Here is a 17925-nt window from a genome sequence, read left to right on the forward strand (position 1 = left end):
AGGAACTGAATAAAATACTAGACCTGACCTCAGAGAGCTCCCAGGTTAGTTGAGAGGCATAAAGGGGAAGAAATAATTAACCGTGGGACAAGTGCAGTGGCAGAGGTACGTACATACAAAGTGTTTTTGGGAGGGGCACATAAGACTGCTTGGAGAGTTAAGGTTGATGTTGAAAGGGCATGAGGTTTGAGCTGGGTCTTAAGAGATGGGTAGAGGTTCAGCAAGCAGAGAAAGAATAAGAGGGCATTTTCAGCCAGGGAAATAGCACAGTTGACAACATGCAATGTTTTGCCACTCTAGAAAAGCACTGGATTTTCTTTGTTTGTTGACAATTTAATCATATTTTACAGTTTGCTACTTTTGTTTTAACATACACTCTTATCTTTTAGGGGGCCACTGAATGGTCTGACTGTTTCCATATTGCTGGTGATAATAATCCACTGGCTGTGAATAGAGCAGCAAATAACATTGCATCTTTATTGACCAAGAGCCAAATTAAAGAAGGGTAAAAATTTAAAAGATTTCTTAGCATCTTTTAGAGTTAGAGAATCACTTTTTATATTGACTTTATGAATTAAAACTCCCAGTGCATTGTGACGTCATTGTAACCAAAATGAATATACTATGAGACTCCATTTACATTTTTAAAGTTTATTGAAAATAAGTTATATTTTTAAAATATTATTTTAGCGATAATTTCCCCACCATATGCAATTTTTCATTTGTCTTATTCATATGTCTTTTCCCCTACATATTGGAAGAATATTTTATAGACTCATTTTAATTTCACAAAATTTTAAACAGTATATTTTTACATAGGCTTCTTTTTTGCTTTGGGTACAGGGTCTCATTTTGTCACCCAGGCTGGAGTGCAGTGACATGATCATGGCTCACTGTAGCCTCAACCTACTGAGCTCAAGCAATCCTCCTGCCTTGGCCTCCCTAGTAGCTAGGAATACAGGCATGTGCCACCATGCCCAGCTAATTTTTTAAAATCTTCGTAGAGATGGGGGTCTTGCTGTTTTGTCCAGGCTGGTGTCAAACTCCTGGCCTCAAGAGATTCTGCCGCTTCAGCCTTCCAAATTGCTGGGATTAGAGACGAGTCACCACACCTGGACCATAGTCTTTAAAGTCACTACATAAATTCCATCGTATAGAAATACTGCAGTTTATATAGCCTCGCCTCTATTTTATTACTAAGTCATTGGTTATATATTTCATTGTCTCTCTGATCTAATTTTTTAGGACAGTGCTTCTCAAACATTAATGTACATGTGAATCACCTAGGAGTACTGTTAACACAGATCTGATTTAGTAGTTTGGGATGGGACCTAAGAGTCTGCATTTTCCAGGAAACTCCAGGACAATGCTGATGCTGCTGGTCTATGTATCAACATTAAATCCTTTTACGTGTATTAAGACAAGTAGTTGGAAGGCTTCAATTTTCTTAAATACTGATTTATTGTGATGAATTAATTTTGAATGGTTGTTTCATATTTATTGAGGGTTTTTTTTAATGAGCCTAGTATATGGCCAGTCTTTTTTTTTTTTAATTAAAACTGATAAACATTTAAACAAACGTACCTTTCTAGCTTCTGAATATTTTATCTTGTTTGTACCTACACTGTCTGTTCAACCCGTACTTTTTTTTTTTTTTTTTTTTTTTTTTTTTTTTTTTTTTTTTGAGACGGAGTCTCACTCTGTCGCCCAGGCTGGAGTGCAGTGGCTTGATCTCGGCTCACTGCAAGCTCCGCCTCCCGGGTTCACGCCATTCTCCTGCCTCAGCCTCCCAAGTAGCTGGGACTACAGGCACCCGCCACCATGCCCGGCTTATTTTTTTTTTGTATTTTTAGTAGAGACGGGTTTTCACCATGTTAGCCAGGATGGTCTCAATCTCCTGACCTCATGATCTGCCCACCTTGGCCTCCCAAAGTGCTGGGATTACAGGCATGAGCCACTGTGCCCGGCCTCAACCTGTACATTTCTATCCATTTTACTTTGGTTTTTAATATTTTTTGCCTTTTGTTTTGTGCAGTTATTGGTATGCGGTTATAATACATATTTTATGTGTACTTTTAAAAATTATGTAATGATTGCTTTTATTGCATTTTTTTCTTAAATTCTTCATTAAATGTCAATTAAATCCTTAATTTCTGCTGATAACCTTTGACTTATCTTCAGTTCTTAGCCTGTGCATTATTTTGTTTCTTAAACCAGTTGCTTTGCCTTAATGAGGAGGATTTAAATCCTTTGTATTTATTATTATTCATTCTGTCTTCTGTCATCTATATTTTTTATCTTAACTTTTTTCTTAGTCTTGTTTTATATAGCATGGCACATATTTTCCTTTTGGTTTTTCATCTTGAAACAATTACCTATATATTTGCCAATTTTACTATCTGTTTTTCTTTTAGGCCTCCTGTTATTACTAGTTTTACAAACTTTATTCTTCAGATACATCACCCCATTATCTATTCTTTAGTATTGTTTTTCTCCAGTGTATGTTTTATCAGCAACTTAAATTTTTGTATCATCGGTTATGTAATTTACTGCTTCAGCATTGTTTTTAAAGTTGTCTTTTGCAGTTCTCTGCATTACAATCATGTTTTCAGTTTGTTTCCCTTTTTTCTGAGACGGGGGTCTTGCTCTGTCACCCAGGCTGGAGTAAAGCGGCACAATCCTAGCTCACTGCATCTTTCAACTCCTGGACTCAAGTGATCCTCCCACCTCAGCCTCCTGAGTAGCTGGGACTATAGGTGTGTGCCATCATGCCCTGCTAACTTCTTAAAAAAGTATTTTAGAGACAAGGTCTCACAGTGTTGCTCAGCTGGTCTCAAATTCCTGGAGTCCAGTGATCCTCCCACCTCAGCCCCTGAAAGTGCTGATTATAGGCACAAGCTACCATGCCCAGCCTGACCTATTTTTTACCTTTGTGCCATTTCTTAAATTTTGAATAGGTTGATATTATCACTGATATCCTTAGCAGTTTATGTTTTGCTGTAGCAGTCTCTCTTCAGAAACAAAAATTGTTGTAATAACTTTATGCTTCACAGTATGTTGAAGCACCTTTCCTTTGTCCCCACAGCAAACCCTCCTGGGGCTTGCCCATAGATGCTGTTCAGTGGGATATCTGCAATCTGCCATTGAGAACTGGCTCTGTGGATATTATTGTAACAGATTTGCCATTTGGAAAAAGGTGAGAAATACTAGTACCTGCTTGTCTTCTAAATATGTCATTATTTTCCTTGCGTTTATTCTAAGTCAGGAAAAAAATCTTGAATTTTAGCAGACTTAGCAGAGCTGTTTTTCACTTAACAACATGATGGATTCACCCATTATGTTTCTTCCGAGAACTCAGGAATGTATTAACTACATTTGGAATCCTGACCATCATGGGAGGTTCATTTTTAAATTACCTGTAATTCACTTTCTAGCCCATTCTTGAATTATATATCCTACACAAAAAGGTGGTAGAAGACTTGGTTCTCATTCTGTTTCTCAGCATAAATGATTCTTTTTTTTTTTTTGGAGACAGAGCCCTGCTCTGTTGCCCAGGCTGGAGTGCAGTGGTATGATCTCGGCTCACTGTAACCTCTGCCTCCCGGGTTCAAGCGATTCTCCTGCCTCACCCTCCTGAGTAGCTCGGATTTCAGGCACATGCCATCATGCCCAGCTTATTTTTGTATTTTTAAAAGACAGGGTTTCACCATATTGGCCAGGCTGGTCTCAAACTCCTGACTTCAGGTGATCTGCCCGCCTCAGCCTCCCAAACTGCTGGGATTACAGGCATGAGCCACCAAAACACCTGGCCTAAATGATTTCTAATCACTTGTTTGGTTTATACAGTTTGACTGCTTATTATACTAAGAGGACAAGTCATATAACTAACACAGTTGTCTAAAAAAAATTTTTTTGATTCAGAATTCTAAGCAGTTTACTAACTCAACTTATTTCATAGACATGTAATGGCAAAGGTCTGGTTTCTAAAACTACAGCTATTTTTCATGCCTCAGGATGCATGAAACTGTTTTTGTTTCATATAGTCCTTCTATTTTGTATCTTTTGCAAGTGTTTGACTCATGAGACCTTCTATTATAGGATGGGATCCAAGAAGAGAAACTGGAACCTTTATCCAGCTTGCCTACGGGAGATGAGCCGTGTCTGCACACCTACCACAGGCCGAGCTGTACTACTTACTCAAGACACAAAATGCTTTACCAAGGTGCTATACACATTAGCTCAAAATCGCAGCCTGTGGCAACTTTGGGATCTTTTTGAGATTTGGGGATGTTTGTTTGGATAAGATTTGTTTTCTCTTCCCCTGAGGTTTCCTATCTTGGCAGTTAAGAATCCTAGTTGATGTAAAAGTAGATTGTCAACCTAATTGTTATTTTTTTTGTGTGTACACAGGCGTTATCTGGAATGCGACACGTATGGCGAAAGGTGGATACAGTCTGGGTGAACGTTGGTGGTCTTCGTGCTGCAGTTTACGTTCTGATACGTACACCTCAAGCTTTTGTTCATCCTTCAGAACAAGACGGAGAAAGAGGAACTCTTTGGCAATGCAAAGAATGAAGATGACTAATAGTACTTGTACTTCCCACCACTGGAAATGTTAGCATAAAAGAACTTGGAGAGGAAAAAAGTATTAACAAAACTGCAGTCTGCACTCTTTAAACCTGTTTAAGGCTCTTCATCCTGGTTAGCAAAAGGTGTGAATGTAATGTGATGGAATTTAAAAGTTTTATGAGACCAGGCACAGTGGCTCACGACTGTAATTCCAGCAGTTTAGGAAGCCGAAGTGTGCAGATCACCTGAGGTCCGGAGACCAGCCTGGCCAACATGGTGAAACCCTGTCTCTACTAGAAATACAAAAATTAGCCAGGTGTGGTGGCGGGCGCCTGTAATCCCAACTACTCAGGAGGCTGAGGCTAGAGAATCACTTGAACCCAGCAGGCGGAGGTTGCGGTGAGTCGAGATCACGCCATTGCACTCCAGCCTGTGCGACAAGAGCGAAACTCTGTCTCAAAAAGATTTTATAAGAAAGCAGAGCTTTTCCTTGAAGCTCTTTTGAAGTGGTAGCTTAATTAGTATTTTGTTGAAAATACTTTAAAGATGCCTAGTGAAAAGCCTACTAAAGTGCTGTGAGATTGGGGTTTAGAACATTTTATTTTCAGGCTTTATGGCCTATTTTCCATTGTGTCAAGTGCAAAACTACCCTGGCCCAAAGGAAGGGCAGAGAACATAATTACATCTTAGGCCACATTTCATTCTTTGCAGCTTTGCTAATCCAGTTGCTCAAGTTCTTTACCTCAACCTGAAGGAATGAAGCATTATTACATTTTGTGAATGGTGTTCAGCCTATAAGACGAAGTCTCACAAGACCTATAGGAAAGTTTACCATCTGCCTTAAATATTAAAATATCCATCTGTTATTCACATTAATACACAGAATGAAAATAGAGGTCTAGGAATTATCAAAGGTACTGCAAAAATACTGTATAGAACTTATTTGTAAATAGCACATACATTGATAGATGGGGTGTGGGACCAACAAACCAAATTAAAAGAAATTGTTTTTCTTTCAGTACACTAAGGTGTGTGTTTTCAAAACCAAACACAAACCTGTCAAGAGTATTTGTTGGCTAGTTTCTTAAAAGGCCAAGAGAAAAAAAATGATATATCTTTGGAAAACTTTTAATTTGGGAGTTATGTGAGTTGTTACTTTCTCCTGGATCACGATTCACATTTAATTGCTTTTCCAGTTGCAACAAGTCCTTCTTGAGAGTTTTGTGGAAAATGGTGCTTCCCTGGAACAAAGAGTAGTTGAGGTTTTTTTGTGGAACTCATCATAGTATTGTTTATTTTGGAGCCTCTGGCTGCAATCAGTATAGATTTTCAGTATCCTATTAGTATTATAATAGTACTCCTCTTAATACTTTCTGATGTCTCCATTGAGAATAAAAGGACACAATACTTTTGAAAGAAGAGTTCACATTAGCAGCACAGCCAGCAATCCTCATCTGGTTTCTCTGATCTCCTACCCCACACTTCATAATGAATGGGAAATAAGATGTTTATGAAGGTTTTATATCCTAGACTGGCCTTTTTACCACTATCAGAATTCACAGCTGCTTTGTTTATGGGCCGAACACAAAACTTTTCACCTGATGGGAGAAACCATTTAAACCTCAAATTAAGCAACCCACAGAACCAGGAAGTTCAAGGACCATGTCTGTTTTCACCACGATGTCTTTCCCCACCCCCCCACCCCCCACTCCACCCCCCACTAAGGGCAGGGTATTGTATCTGCCAGACTGGGTATTTGTTGAACAAGCGAGTATTTTCGCCTATTAGCTTAGTTTTTAAGGAAATCATTTTTTACTTGATTCATCATAGCTTTAATTCTATTACATACTACAATAAAAATTTGACAAGACTGATACAAATATGTAGTGGGCAATAGTTTGCCGTCTTCTTCCCTAGTATGGTGTTTTTCAATCTGGTGACTAGAATAGGCAGTGGGCTATAAGCAGGATTCATAAGGCCTGGAGCTGAGTTATATGTGACACTGCCACCTATTCATTGTGTGACCTTGGTTTTAACCTTCAAAGTGGGTCTCCTGGACTAAAAGAATGTGAAAAGATGGGGAAATAAATCTGTAATCTGAACATGGAATGACTTAGTTACAGACCAGACATATTGTTACTGGGAATGAAAAAGTCAATATATTTGAGGGGAAAAAAATGTAAATAAATATTGAGAAAGATTTTACAAATCTAATTAGGGGAAGATAGTTATCTCCCAATACTAGAGGGTACCAGAGTGCTTTTAAGGGGAACATTTGGTTACCCTTATTTCTTTAAAAAATGGCAGTTTAGGAAATTCTGCCCTAACTGTAGTCCCAATGTCAGATAGGACTCAGGTCTCCACTGCAAGGACCAAAATGTTAAGTTGAAGACTGAAAATGGGAAAATTTGGAAATGTCTTTGGAACCTCAAGTACATAAAAGCCTGTAAGTGCTTCATACTCATTAACAACATAGGCATAGAAAAAAGATATCCTTATTCTCAAGCATAGCCTTTTCTAATAAGTTCATGTTAGATGTCATGAAGTTTAGTGAGGAGTGAAAATCTATGAGGAAAAACATGAACCATTCTACTCTGGCAAAAGTTCAGGACAAACACCATAGGCCTGTATACCAAATTTTAAACCATGTTGAATAATGTGAAAAAAAGCATCACATTGCTTATGAAAGGCTTTCCTGTCGCCCCTTAATACTTCTGTCTCAGGCTAACATGTTTGTTAATGAGTTACAGTGGTGAAGTTAAGGAAATCTGCTTCCTGTCCTAGCATGCCCATTATCCCAGCCATACAGATTTAATACCAGGAGTCACTTTAACTCCATGAAGTCATTCAACAGGTACTTGAGTATTTACTATGTGCGTTTGTGCTAGAGTAGCCATTTCTTAAACTTTGTGGCCTCAGAGAATCCCTTCACATTCTTAAAGATTGAGGGCCCCAAATCACTTTACTAGTATCTTACCATATTAGAAAGTAAAATATTTAAATATTATAGCAACAAATGCATATTTTTAAAAAAATAGGTGCATTGTTTTACATTTTGGCAATTGTTTCCCTAAATGTCTGACTTAAATAGAAGACAACTGAATTGTTTCTTTTGCATTCAATTGGTTACAATGTTACTAGCAGTTTTCTATAATCTCACGTATTAGTCATTAGGAAAATATAGCTTCACTGAGTTATGTCAATCTCCCAAATGTTGGCCCATTTTACTGTATACTACCTAAAATATCATTGGCCGGGCACAGTGGCTTAAACCTGTAATCCTAGCACTTTGGGAGGCCAAGGTGGATCACCTGAGGTCAGGAGTTCAAGACCACCCTGGCCAACATGGTGAAACCCCATCTCTACTAAAAATACAAAAATTAGCCGGGTACAGTGGTACACACCTGTAGTCCCAGTTATGCAGGAGGCTGAGGCAGGAGAATTGCTTGAACCCAGGAGACAGAGGTTGCAGTCAGCCAGATGTCCCAAAAAAAAAAAAAAATTATTTTCAATATCACTATCTCATGAAGTATTGGGAAGCTGTCAAGTTCCTGATATTAGACACAAGTTTTCCCGAAATTCTGATTTTGACTCAACGTTTGGATTTTATCATTGAAAACAATTGCTGTCAGTTGTTAGGCTCCAAGGAAATAGCAGATAATTCAGCTTACATGAGTGCTTTTTCTTGAGACAACCATTTCAAAAAGTTATGTACTGTAGGGTTTAAGATTTAACAAAATGTCACTGCTTTCACAAGGACATTCTTGAGTGAAACTGGTTTTTTTCTTTTGTGGGGGTTCACACCACAAATGCATGGCAGTGAAAAATAACTTAGAGTTTGATGCCACTGCCACAGTTTGTGCCAAGGTGCCTGAAATTTTACTTTTACCTACTGTTGCCTTATCACCACTCTTATGTCAACATATAGTTTAGCATAAACCATGAGATTTTAAAAAGTTATTCTACACTTGCATTATTTCAGGACATGTGTTTGTTGCCAAGCTTTCACGTAAGAGTATCTTTAACTAGTTGGTGCTGATGCCTGGCAAATACAAGCCAAGTAACAAGTCCAGCCATGTTTATGCACGCATCCATTGATAACGTATTAGCACAGTCAGCCCTCCATATCCTCAGGTTCTGCATCTGCAGATTCAACCAAATGTGCTTGAAAATATTTGAGAATATTTAATACAATAGTACAAATATAAGTACACAATGTAACAACTATTTATATAGCATTCACATTGTATGAAGTATAAGAAATCTGGAAATGATTTAAAGTATATGGGAGGATGTGTGTAAGTTGTATGCAGATACAGCGCCATTTTATAAAAGGGAATTCAACATCCTTGGGTTTTGGTGTCCTTGGCAAATGGCCAGCAAGGGTGGGGGAGTGCTGTCCAGAAACCAATCCCAAAGCAAGGGACAAATATATACTTCTACAGATGAGATATTAACTCAGAATCCATGTCTGCACACACATCTTTAATGACAAGTTGCTTTATCACTCAACAGCGGCACTACTATGATCTTTTACTTACACTTCAGCCAGCAGAGACATTCAGCAGTGTGAGATTTTTTAAGTTTTTCAGCTATTGTGTATGTTTCTAGTGTATAATAAAGTAACTTATCCTTTAAGATACTTAAGTAGCTTTTCATTTCTAGCTTTAAAACCTGTTTTTTTTTTTTTCCCAGTAGTGGCATACCTGCATTAAAAAATAATGCCTTACCAAAAAAAGCACTCTGAATGATTGGTTTCAAAATGATGCCACAACATAGGTGGCACCAACACTATTCAAGATCATTCCATTCCCATCTCTAAAAAAATTTTTGGCTGGGTATGGTGGCTCACGCCTATTAACTCAACATTTTGAGAGGCCCAAAGCAAGATCACTCAGGGCTAGGAGTTGAAGACTAGCCTGAGCAACATGGCAAGATCCTGTCTCAAAATTCTTTTTAAAATTTTTTTAAAAGCCCAGGCTTGGTGGCGCATGCCTATAGTTCCAGCTACTCAGGAGGCTGAGGCAGAAGGATCTCTTGAACCCAGGAGTTTCAGGCTGTAGTTCACTATGATGGCAGCTGTGAATAGCCTGGGCAACACAGCAAGACCTCATCTCCAAAAAAAGACAAAAGAACTAAATTATTCTACTGCAGAACATGATTAGGTAAATATCTCCAAAGCAGAAAGACAGGTTTCATATTTTCGTTAGTTTGAGTCAGTCCTTCCAAATCAAATCTTGTTTTTTATTAGTATACAGATGGTATAGCCAGTAAGTAAATGAGAAGCAGTCTTTTTAAGCCGATCCATTCTTAAATGAAAAAATATATAAATATTTTAGAATAAATTTATTAAATTCTAAAGTTGTAGAATTTTTAAATTTGGATATTTTGGGAAAATATTTAAACCACTATTGCAAACAAAACAACAAAATGTACTTATGTTTATACTTAGGCACAAAGAAAACTACAGTATTTTAAAGTAACCATTACACAATATTGAGGTTGCAAAGATTACTGAAGGCATAACCTAAAAAATGAGTTGATTTCTAAAAATGGGAAAAAGGAAAAAAATAATTTCTAAAAACAAGTATGCATACCTAAACCTACCTAATGACACCTTAGAAAATTCAAGTATAGCACCATTCATTAACATCAATGAGGATGTCATCACACATCATGTAGCCTCTGCACACCGTGAGAATAAATGAAAAAGACAGGCATCTTGCTATCATGACAATAGTTTTGACCTCGCAGACCTCTCTGTGCTTACGCAACGGATAAAGCCATAAGAACTGTCCTGCCCTCAAGGAGCAACCTAAAGTAGGAAAAAAAAAACAAAATTACACAATTATTATTTACAATTGTGAGAAGAGCTCTTGACAACATTCAAATGGAGGATACAGTGTAGTAAGGGTGAGGGTATCAAGGCTTCCTTGAGAAGTGATGTTTTGAGGCCATTCTTTCTTCTCAATAACTGGTATTTGGTTCCTGAATCCTTTAACTTCCTTACCATTGTCACTCCTAAGCCAAATCTCATTACGTCATGTCTAGACTACTGTTAAGAGAACCACTTAAGTGGTCTCTGCAGCCCTCAATTTATTGGTGTTATCTATGGGAAAATTGCTCAAACTCTAAGCCTTAGTTTCCTACCCTATAAAATGGGGTTTTATATACAAGGAACATACTAAATACACAGGTATACCTCAGAAACACGGCAGGCTCAATTCCAGAGCACTACAATAAAGCGAATCTCATGAATTTGTTGGTTTCCCAGTGCATAAATTATGGTTACACTATACCATAGTCTATTAAGAAGTGTACAATAGCATTATGTATAATTGATAAATACATCACTGCTAAAAAAATGCTAACAATCTTTTTGCTGGTGGAGGGTCTTACGCCAACGTTAACGATGGCTACTGACTCATCAGGGTGGTGGTGGTTGAAGATTACGATAGCTGTGGCAATTTCTTAAAAGACAATGAAGTTTGCCACACTGACATCCTTTCACAAGACTTCTCTGTAGCATGTGATGCTGTTTGATAGCATGATAGCATTTTACCCACAGTAGAACTTTTTTTTCCTTTTCCTTTTTTTTTTTTTTTAAACGCAAGGTCTCACTCTGTCACCCAGGCTGGAGTGCAGGGGCGCCATCTCGGCTTACTGCAACCTCCTCCTCCCTGGTTCAAGAGATTCTCCTGCCTCAGCTTCCCAAGTAGCTGGGACTACAGGTGTGCACCACACCTGGCTAATTTGGTAGAGGTGGGGTTTCACCATGTTGGCAAGGCTGGTCTTGAACTCCTGACCTCAAATGATCTACCAGTCTCGGCCTCCTAAAGTACTGGGATTGCAGGTGTGAGCCACCACACCCAGCCAGTGGAACTTATTTCAAAATTGAAGTCAACTCTCTCACACCCTGGCACTGCTTTATCAACCAGGTTTCTGTAATTCCTAAATCCTTTATTGGCATTTTAACAATGTTCACAGCAACTTCACCAGTAGATTCCATCTCGAGAAACCACTTTCTTTGCTCATCCCTAAAAAGCAACTCCTCATCCATTCAAATTTGATCATGAGATTGCAGCAATTCAGTCACATCTTCAATGCTTTACTTCCAGTTCTAGTTCTCTTCCTGTTTCCACACCTGCAGTACACAAAAAGCATTCAATAACTATTACTTCATTTCTTCTACCTATGTTTCCATTAGCTTTTGCCTATAGTACGCACTAGAGTATGTTACCATTATTTGTTATAAGTAGTACCTCATTATTACACTATTCGTAAGCAATACCTCAAGGTCTAAGATTAGATTTTAAATCAAGGTCAGTAAAAATAGAAAAGGCTGTGAAGACTGTTGACTGACTTTACCAGAATCCATACACTAGAGGTGAGATTAGTTAGGTGATGAAATAACCATTCTATAAACATGATCTGAAACTCTGTTACTGTTGTCAGCAGGAAAAGCCAATGTTACATATGTTTAAAAAAGAAAAAAAAAACCCAAAACCAGAAAACAAAAGGTGACAAAGTATCAAGACAAAAGGTCACTGATGACTGATCTCTAGGAAAAGCTGGAAAGCAGGATTATTAAATGTAACCACGACTAAGATAAAAATCAGAGACAGAAAAGTCTTTGTCACCAAGAAGATATACTCCATGAGAGAGCAGAAACAATTCATCAGGTTTAACCCTGCTCTAGATAAAATAAAACTATCTGATTCAATACTCACACTTCTCTAATAATCCAATACATTATCCCATCTCAAGAAGAGAGAGTCACAGATAAGAAAAAAAAGGCTTCTTGAGAAGTATGTGCTCTAATATAAACTAATATGCCACTAAGAAAGCAACCTGCAAAGTCCAGTACCAGACTTCTGGATTTGTGACCTAACAAGGTGCTCTACAATTAACCTAACAGTCAAACCAGAGTGTTGTAAAAGAGAATTATGTAATTATGCCAAACCTCCACTCACAAAAAATATATGGAAGTAACCTAAGTTTACATTTTGCAAATCTCACACACACACTAGCCCTGACAAAAGTTTCACCAGCTTTCTCATCCAAGTACAAGCGTGTAATATACTTAATAAATTTGTCTTATAAGGGTAAGAAATAGTATGTAACTACTTGAAAAGGAGATAGGTAGCTGGTTAATTTAAACAAAAAGCCCAAGGAAGTAAGGTGCAGGAAAAGGATAACTGCAATGATTAGTACAGGAAACCCAAAGAAGAACTGAATGGTGGGATAGATGTACTCAGAGACCATGAGGCATCAGTTTCCTCTATGAATAGAATATTAGGAGATGTAGGTTAAATGGGACCCTGAAGTCTCTCCCAAAAAGCCTTGTTTATATGTTTTCTGAGCTTAACTATTACTTGAGAATCAATTTCACGTATAAACCAACAAAACTAACATTTATTGAGCTTCCAGCTCTGTGCTTAGGCACTGAAAAATCACTTTCCTTAAGGATTGCAATTAAGCAGGAGAAACACAAATAAGGTGAACTTCTCTTGTTCGAAAGAATATATTTCAACATTCCTTTTAAAAGGAAAACCTGACCTGCAAGTTTCCAAAAATATTAATTACTATTCCTCTTTGCCTCTCAAAATTCCCATTCTGTTATTTTTTAGGAGGAGGAAAAAACAGTTCATTTGAGGAAAAATTGAGGGTCACATACTATACAATTGAGAAGAGTTTCTCTGAAACTGTAATCATTTTTGGCAGGTAAATAGGCATATCCGAGTCAGCAAATGAACTTGAAGATACTGAGTTATACTGCCTGCCCTGTGGGGTTCCACCTTCCCCAAAAGAATTCAGAATTTTTGGGTGATCTGAGAATCTACATTAAGACAACTGTCTCCACACACAGGAGGCCTGAAGATCGCTGACATAAGGGTCTTTTTAAAAAGTATATTTAATGGCCTAGGGCGGTGGCTCACACCTGTAATCCCAGGACTTTGGGAAGCTTAGGGCAGGAAGATCACTTGAGCCCAGGAGTTCTAACCTGTGCAGCACAGCAAAAACCCATCTCTACAAAAAAAAAAACACAAAAAAATTAGCTGGGCATGGAAGCGTGTGCCTGTAGTTCCAGCTACTCAGGAGGCTGAGGCAGGAGGATCACTTGAGCCCAGGAAGTCAAGGCTGCGTGAGCCATGATCATGCCATTGCAATCCAGTATGTGACACTAAGACTCCGTCTCAAAAAAAAAAAAAAGATAATTAAAATGTGTAAGATACTGTATTAGCAATATAAAAAGCATTTGGTGTTAAAATGTTGGTATTATAATTCCTCAGGATAAAACTTACTTTGTGATTGTTTTCTATAACTCAAGATATGATGCTTAGAGCTCCTCCAATCAAGTGTTTCCAGGAAGTGAAAACTTGTAGGACAGAAATTTAGGCTGGGTTCATTTGTATCACACAGACCTATTCTTCATTCAAGTTCTGATATATTTAACTATGTAGCTCCTGTAACAGTTTAATGGAATCTCACCTCCCTAAAATTCATTATGCATTTTTTTTTGAAATCCAAACTCATTAACGCTTGCTTTCACTGTTGTCCAAGGCAGGCACATCTTTAAAAATGGTTTGTTGGACTTAGCTTTCAGCTAAATATATAATAAATAAAACAAAACAAGCAGTTAAATGAAATGTAATGGGCCAGAGAGCTTCAGCTTTTATTTCCTTACTGCTCAGTAAAAAGAGAAAACCATCAATGTCCACGTATTCTGTAATCCACAGAACAAGTCCGGGGCTACAGCTATACTGTCCACAGTTGCAATTCAAATTAGATAAAAAATAAAAATTCAGTTCTTTAGTCATACCAGCCACTTTTCCAATGCTCAAGATTAATAAAATGTCAAACCATAAAGACATTTACATGTCGCTCACTCCATTTACTTAAAGTTGGCTAGACATCAGAGTATACTAGGAGCTCAGGAGTACAAGACACTATTCCTTCAAAAAGCTCAGAATAGTTAAGGTAATTTAAATCAGCAATGACAACAACCCCAGAATTACTATGACCCACGCAGTACAAACTGCTCAGGAGTCAGAAGAAAACTGCTTTTTTAAAAGGGCAGTTTGGGTCATAGAACAACAGACCATGGAAGGCATGACCAAAGGGGAGATGACATTTGAATCTGCAGGATTAAAAGCAGCAAGGGTAGCATTCCAAAAAGAACCACCCCACAAAGATATATGACGTCTCTATGATTTGGGTAACTGCAATTCATTCCATGTGACTTCAGGAGAGAGGTCATATTTGTGTGTGTAGTATGTGGAAAATAGTGAAAAATGAAAAAGCTGTTAAATTGAGGAAAGTCTATCCAGGGACCTTATGCATCACATTCACGAGAACAGAATTCATCCTGTAAACCAGGGGTGTCCAATCTTTCGGCTTCCCTGGGCCACACTGCAAGAACTGTCTTGGGCCACATATAAAGGACAGCTGATGAGCAAAAAAAAAAAACAGACAACAACAACAAAAAAAACACCCCGCAAAAAAAACTCCTAAAACTTTAAGAAAGTTTACGAATTTGTGTTGGGTCGCATTCAAAGCTGTCCTGGGTCCCATGCGGCCCGCGGGTTAGACAACTTGCTGTAAACAGTACAAGCCAGTAATGGAGTTTCACCTGTCATTTTCATGCTCTATCTTCCTTTAGGACAATCATCCTAACAAGATGTAAGATGGATCAAAAGATAACACTAAAGACAGAGACAGCAATTTGGAAGCTATCACACAGGCATCTGAGATCAGTTACTAACTGGTAAGAACAGAAATGAGAGGTATTTAGAGGAAGAAAAAGGGAGATGTTGCCTAACCTCAGATCCAATTCTCTGTAAAGCAGTAGTCAAGATCACCTGGACTGTGAAGACGGTCAGGGACAGAATCCCAGCTAAGGAAAAAGGATAAAATGAAAATCAAGATAAACATTTAAGAACGTGAACTAGGGAGGAATAAAAGCACTGCTGGGTAAGAGTCAAGCCCCAGCTCAAGCCTTAATTTGTGGTGGAACCAATCTGTCTGGTTTCGCGAGACACCAGGCTACCCAAGATCAAGAGAGGGAGAAAGCTAGTGCTATGTCTGAATACTAGAGGAGCAAGTACAACAAATGGAAAATGGGATCAAGTATGAGTGAGAGTTGCTAAGATGCCTGGTAGGGATGCAAAGGGGTAGAGAGCCTGGGGAGAGAGGGTGAGGGAGGGAAGCACTGGTTTCTCAAGCAAAAGCTAAAATTTTTCTATTAAGATTTAACCTGATGCTACACTTTGGTGGTGCAGCAAGGGTCTCAAATGGTATAAAACTCAGGTGATCATGCTTTATGTCTGTCTCTAGAAAAATGCTCCAAAAATGATAAGTAGTGATAATCCGCAGTCTCGTTGCATAAAATCAGCCCCAGGTGAATGACTAAGCTCCATTTCCCTACCCCACCCTTATTACAATAACCTCGACACCAACTCTAGTCCGTGGGAAGATAAACTAATCGGAGTCGCCCCTCAAATCTTACAGCTGCTCACTCCCCTGCAGGGCAACGCCCAGGGACCAAGTTAGCCCCTTAAGCCTAGGCAAAAGAATCCCGCCCATAATCGAGAAGCGACTCGACATGGAGGCGATGACGAGATCACGCGAGGAGGAAAGGAGGGAGGGCTTCTTCCAGGCCCAGGGCGGTCCTTACAAGACGGGAGGCAGCAGAGAACTCCCATAAAGGTATTGCGGCACTCCCCTCCCCCTGCCCAGAAGGGTGCGGCCTTCTCTCCACCTCCTCCACCGCAGCTCCCTCAGGATTGCAGCTCGCGCCGGTTTTTGGAGAACAAGCGCCTCCCACCCACAAACCAGCCGGACCGACCCCCGCTCCTCCCCCACCCCCACGAGTGCCTGTAGCAGGTCGGGCTTGTCTCGCCCTTCAGGCGGTGGGAACCCGGGGCGGAGCCGCGGCCGCCGCCATCCAGAAGTCTCGGCCGGCAGCCCGCCCCCGCCTCCAGCGCGCGCTTCCTGCCACGTTGCGCAGGGGCGCGGGGCCAGACACTGCGGCGCTCGGCCTCGGGGAGGACCGTACCAACGCCCGCCTCCCCGCCACCCCCGCGCCCCGCGCAGTGGTTTCGCTCATGTGAGACTCGAGCCAGTAGCAAGGGCCCGGTCCCACAGCTTCGACAGCCAATCAGGTGTCGAAGACAAGCAGGCGGCGGGTAAACCGACTCCCCCGAAGGAAGGGGAGGGTGGGAGGACGCCCGCGCCAGAGCCGATTTCACTGACCCTCCCCTCCCGCCGCAGGAGGCCGGCCGCGCCCGCACACCCAGCATCTCTACACCCCACCTACCTACCCGCCCCACCCAGGGGGCAACGCGAGAGTCGCTAAGCGGCTGCGTACTCCCGACGGCGTAACTGACAGGAGCTTTACTCCAACCAGAATACGCCATTTGTGTTTTCACACACGGCGGGAGGAGAAACGGCCAATCGGCGACAAGAGGCTAGCCGGAAGCGCTCCTCCCTCTGCGAGAGCAATGGCTCCGTCCGGTTTCGAGCATTTTCCGCTCCCTTCTCCCTCCCCCTCCGGTTGCCGCAGGGCGGGCCTCCCTCCCGCCTGCATCCAGCCACCCCTTTCCCTCCCAACGTAACAAACATTATGTTCCCGACTTCCCACGGGAAAGGCAACCCCCGCAAGCCACCAGACGGCCCCCCTAGCCACCCATCCCCCCAGTGTACCGCACCTCCCCTCCCACCAGAGTTCCGCTCCCCTACCTAGCCGAGGCTCTCTGAGGAGCCGGAGCGCCGAAGCACAGCCTCTTCTCTAGGCGGCCCCGGCGGCTTCCGCTGATTGGCGGCGAGTGGGCCAATGGGTGCGGGGCGGTGGGCGGAGAGGCCAATGGCGCGGCGGGAGGGGGCGTGTCCCGGGTGCCCCTGGCGCCGGCGCTGGGAATCCCCGTGCGGTCAGTGGCGTTTCCGCTCGGGCAGCGGGCTGAGTGAGCTGCCGCCGCCGCCGCCGCCGCCGCCGCCGCCGCCGCTGCCGGGGGAGGGGCGGCCGCCGCCCGCCTGCGCTCAGAGACTCACGCAGCCCCAGTCCCGCCAGTCCGCCAACACAGTAGTGCCGGCCCCCCTCTTTCCCTGGCCCTGCCCCCCCTCCCCGCCTTTGGCTCGCTCCGCCTTTCTGCCCCCCACCCCCACCTCACGGGTACGGGCCATTCCCGGCCAGGAAACGCCGTGGCGCCGCGTTGGGCCTAACTCGAGTCCTGCCGCCTCCCGGGAGTGCCGTGCGCCGCAGCCCGGGCCCAGGCCCCGGCAGCGCCTGGGACAAGGTAAGGGTCCGACAGAAAAGAGACCGAACCTCACGATCGGGCCCCAGGGGAGGGAAGGGTC

At 41.5% G+C, this 17925-nt stretch overlaps 2 protein-coding genes and 1 long non-coding RNA gene across 54 annotated transcripts in view, besides 1 other annotated feature; 2 read left to right on the top strand and 1 right to left on the bottom strand.

Annotated features, from left to right (window-relative positions):
- The window catches only part of THUMPD3 (THUMP domain 3 tRNA guanosine methyltransferase), a 23738-nt gene extending 17060 nt beyond the window's left edge, over positions 1–6678 (top strand). For 7 of the 12 annotated variants that reach the window (XM_011533570.3, XM_006713086.4, XM_005265022.5 and 4 more), the window contains exons 7-10: positions 390–505; positions 3086–3196; positions 4099–4222; positions 4411–6678. In XM_011533570.3, coding sequence (XP_011531872.1) covers positions 390–505; positions 3086–3196; positions 4099–4222; positions 4411–4575 — 516 coding nt within the window. In that variant the 3' untranslated portion in view covers positions 4576–6678. The remainder of the gene's footprint in view (positions 1–389; positions 506–3085; positions 3197–4098; positions 4223–4410) is intronic. The other 5 variants (XM_017006114.2, XM_017006113.2, XM_017006115.3 and 2 more) reach the window with 1 other exon arrangement.
- Positions 5151–17381, bottom strand: THUMPD3-AS1 (THUMPD3 antisense RNA 1). Of its 3 annotated transcripts, none has more exons than NR_132781.1 (4): positions 16447–16510; positions 10177–10384; positions 7974–8014; positions 5151–5810 (listed from the first exon to the last, which is right to left on the bottom strand). It is a non-coding gene; the product is annotated as a THUMPD3 antisense RNA 1 (long non-coding RNA). The 3 variants fall into 3 exon arrangements; NR_132780.1 differs by lacking the exons at positions 5151–5810; positions 7974–8014; positions 16447–16510 and adding exons at positions 11566–11713; positions 15393–15466; positions 17311–17381 and having other exon boundaries at positions 8732–10384; NR_027007.3 differs by lacking the exons at positions 5151–5810; positions 7974–8014; positions 16447–16510 and adding exons at positions 11566–11713; positions 17311–17381 and having other exon boundaries at positions 8732–10384.
- Positions 16400–17709: a silencer, noted in NCBI's record as "silent region_14033". NCBI's record gives its function as "represses an Ori minimal core promoter by ATAC-STARR-seq in GM12878 lymphoblastoid cells {active_cell/tissue: GM12878}" and the evidence as "EXISTENCE:reporter gene assay evidence [ECO:0000049][PMID:35858748]".
- SETD5 (SET domain containing 5) overlaps positions 17502–17925 on the top strand; it is an 80540-nt gene continuing 80116 nt past the window's right edge. For all 39 annotated transcript variants that reach the window (XM_047448468.1, XM_047448473.1, XM_047448482.1 and 36 more), the window contains exon 1: positions 17502–17864. The gene's annotated coding sequence lies outside the window, so the exon portion shown is untranslated. The remainder of the gene's footprint in view (positions 17865–17925) is intronic.

This window comes from Homo sapiens, chromosome 3 (assembly GCF_000001405.40).
Source record: "Homo sapiens chromosome 3, GRCh38.p14 Primary Assembly".
NCBI lineage: Eukaryota > Metazoa > Chordata > Mammalia > Primates > Hominidae > Homo > Homo sapiens.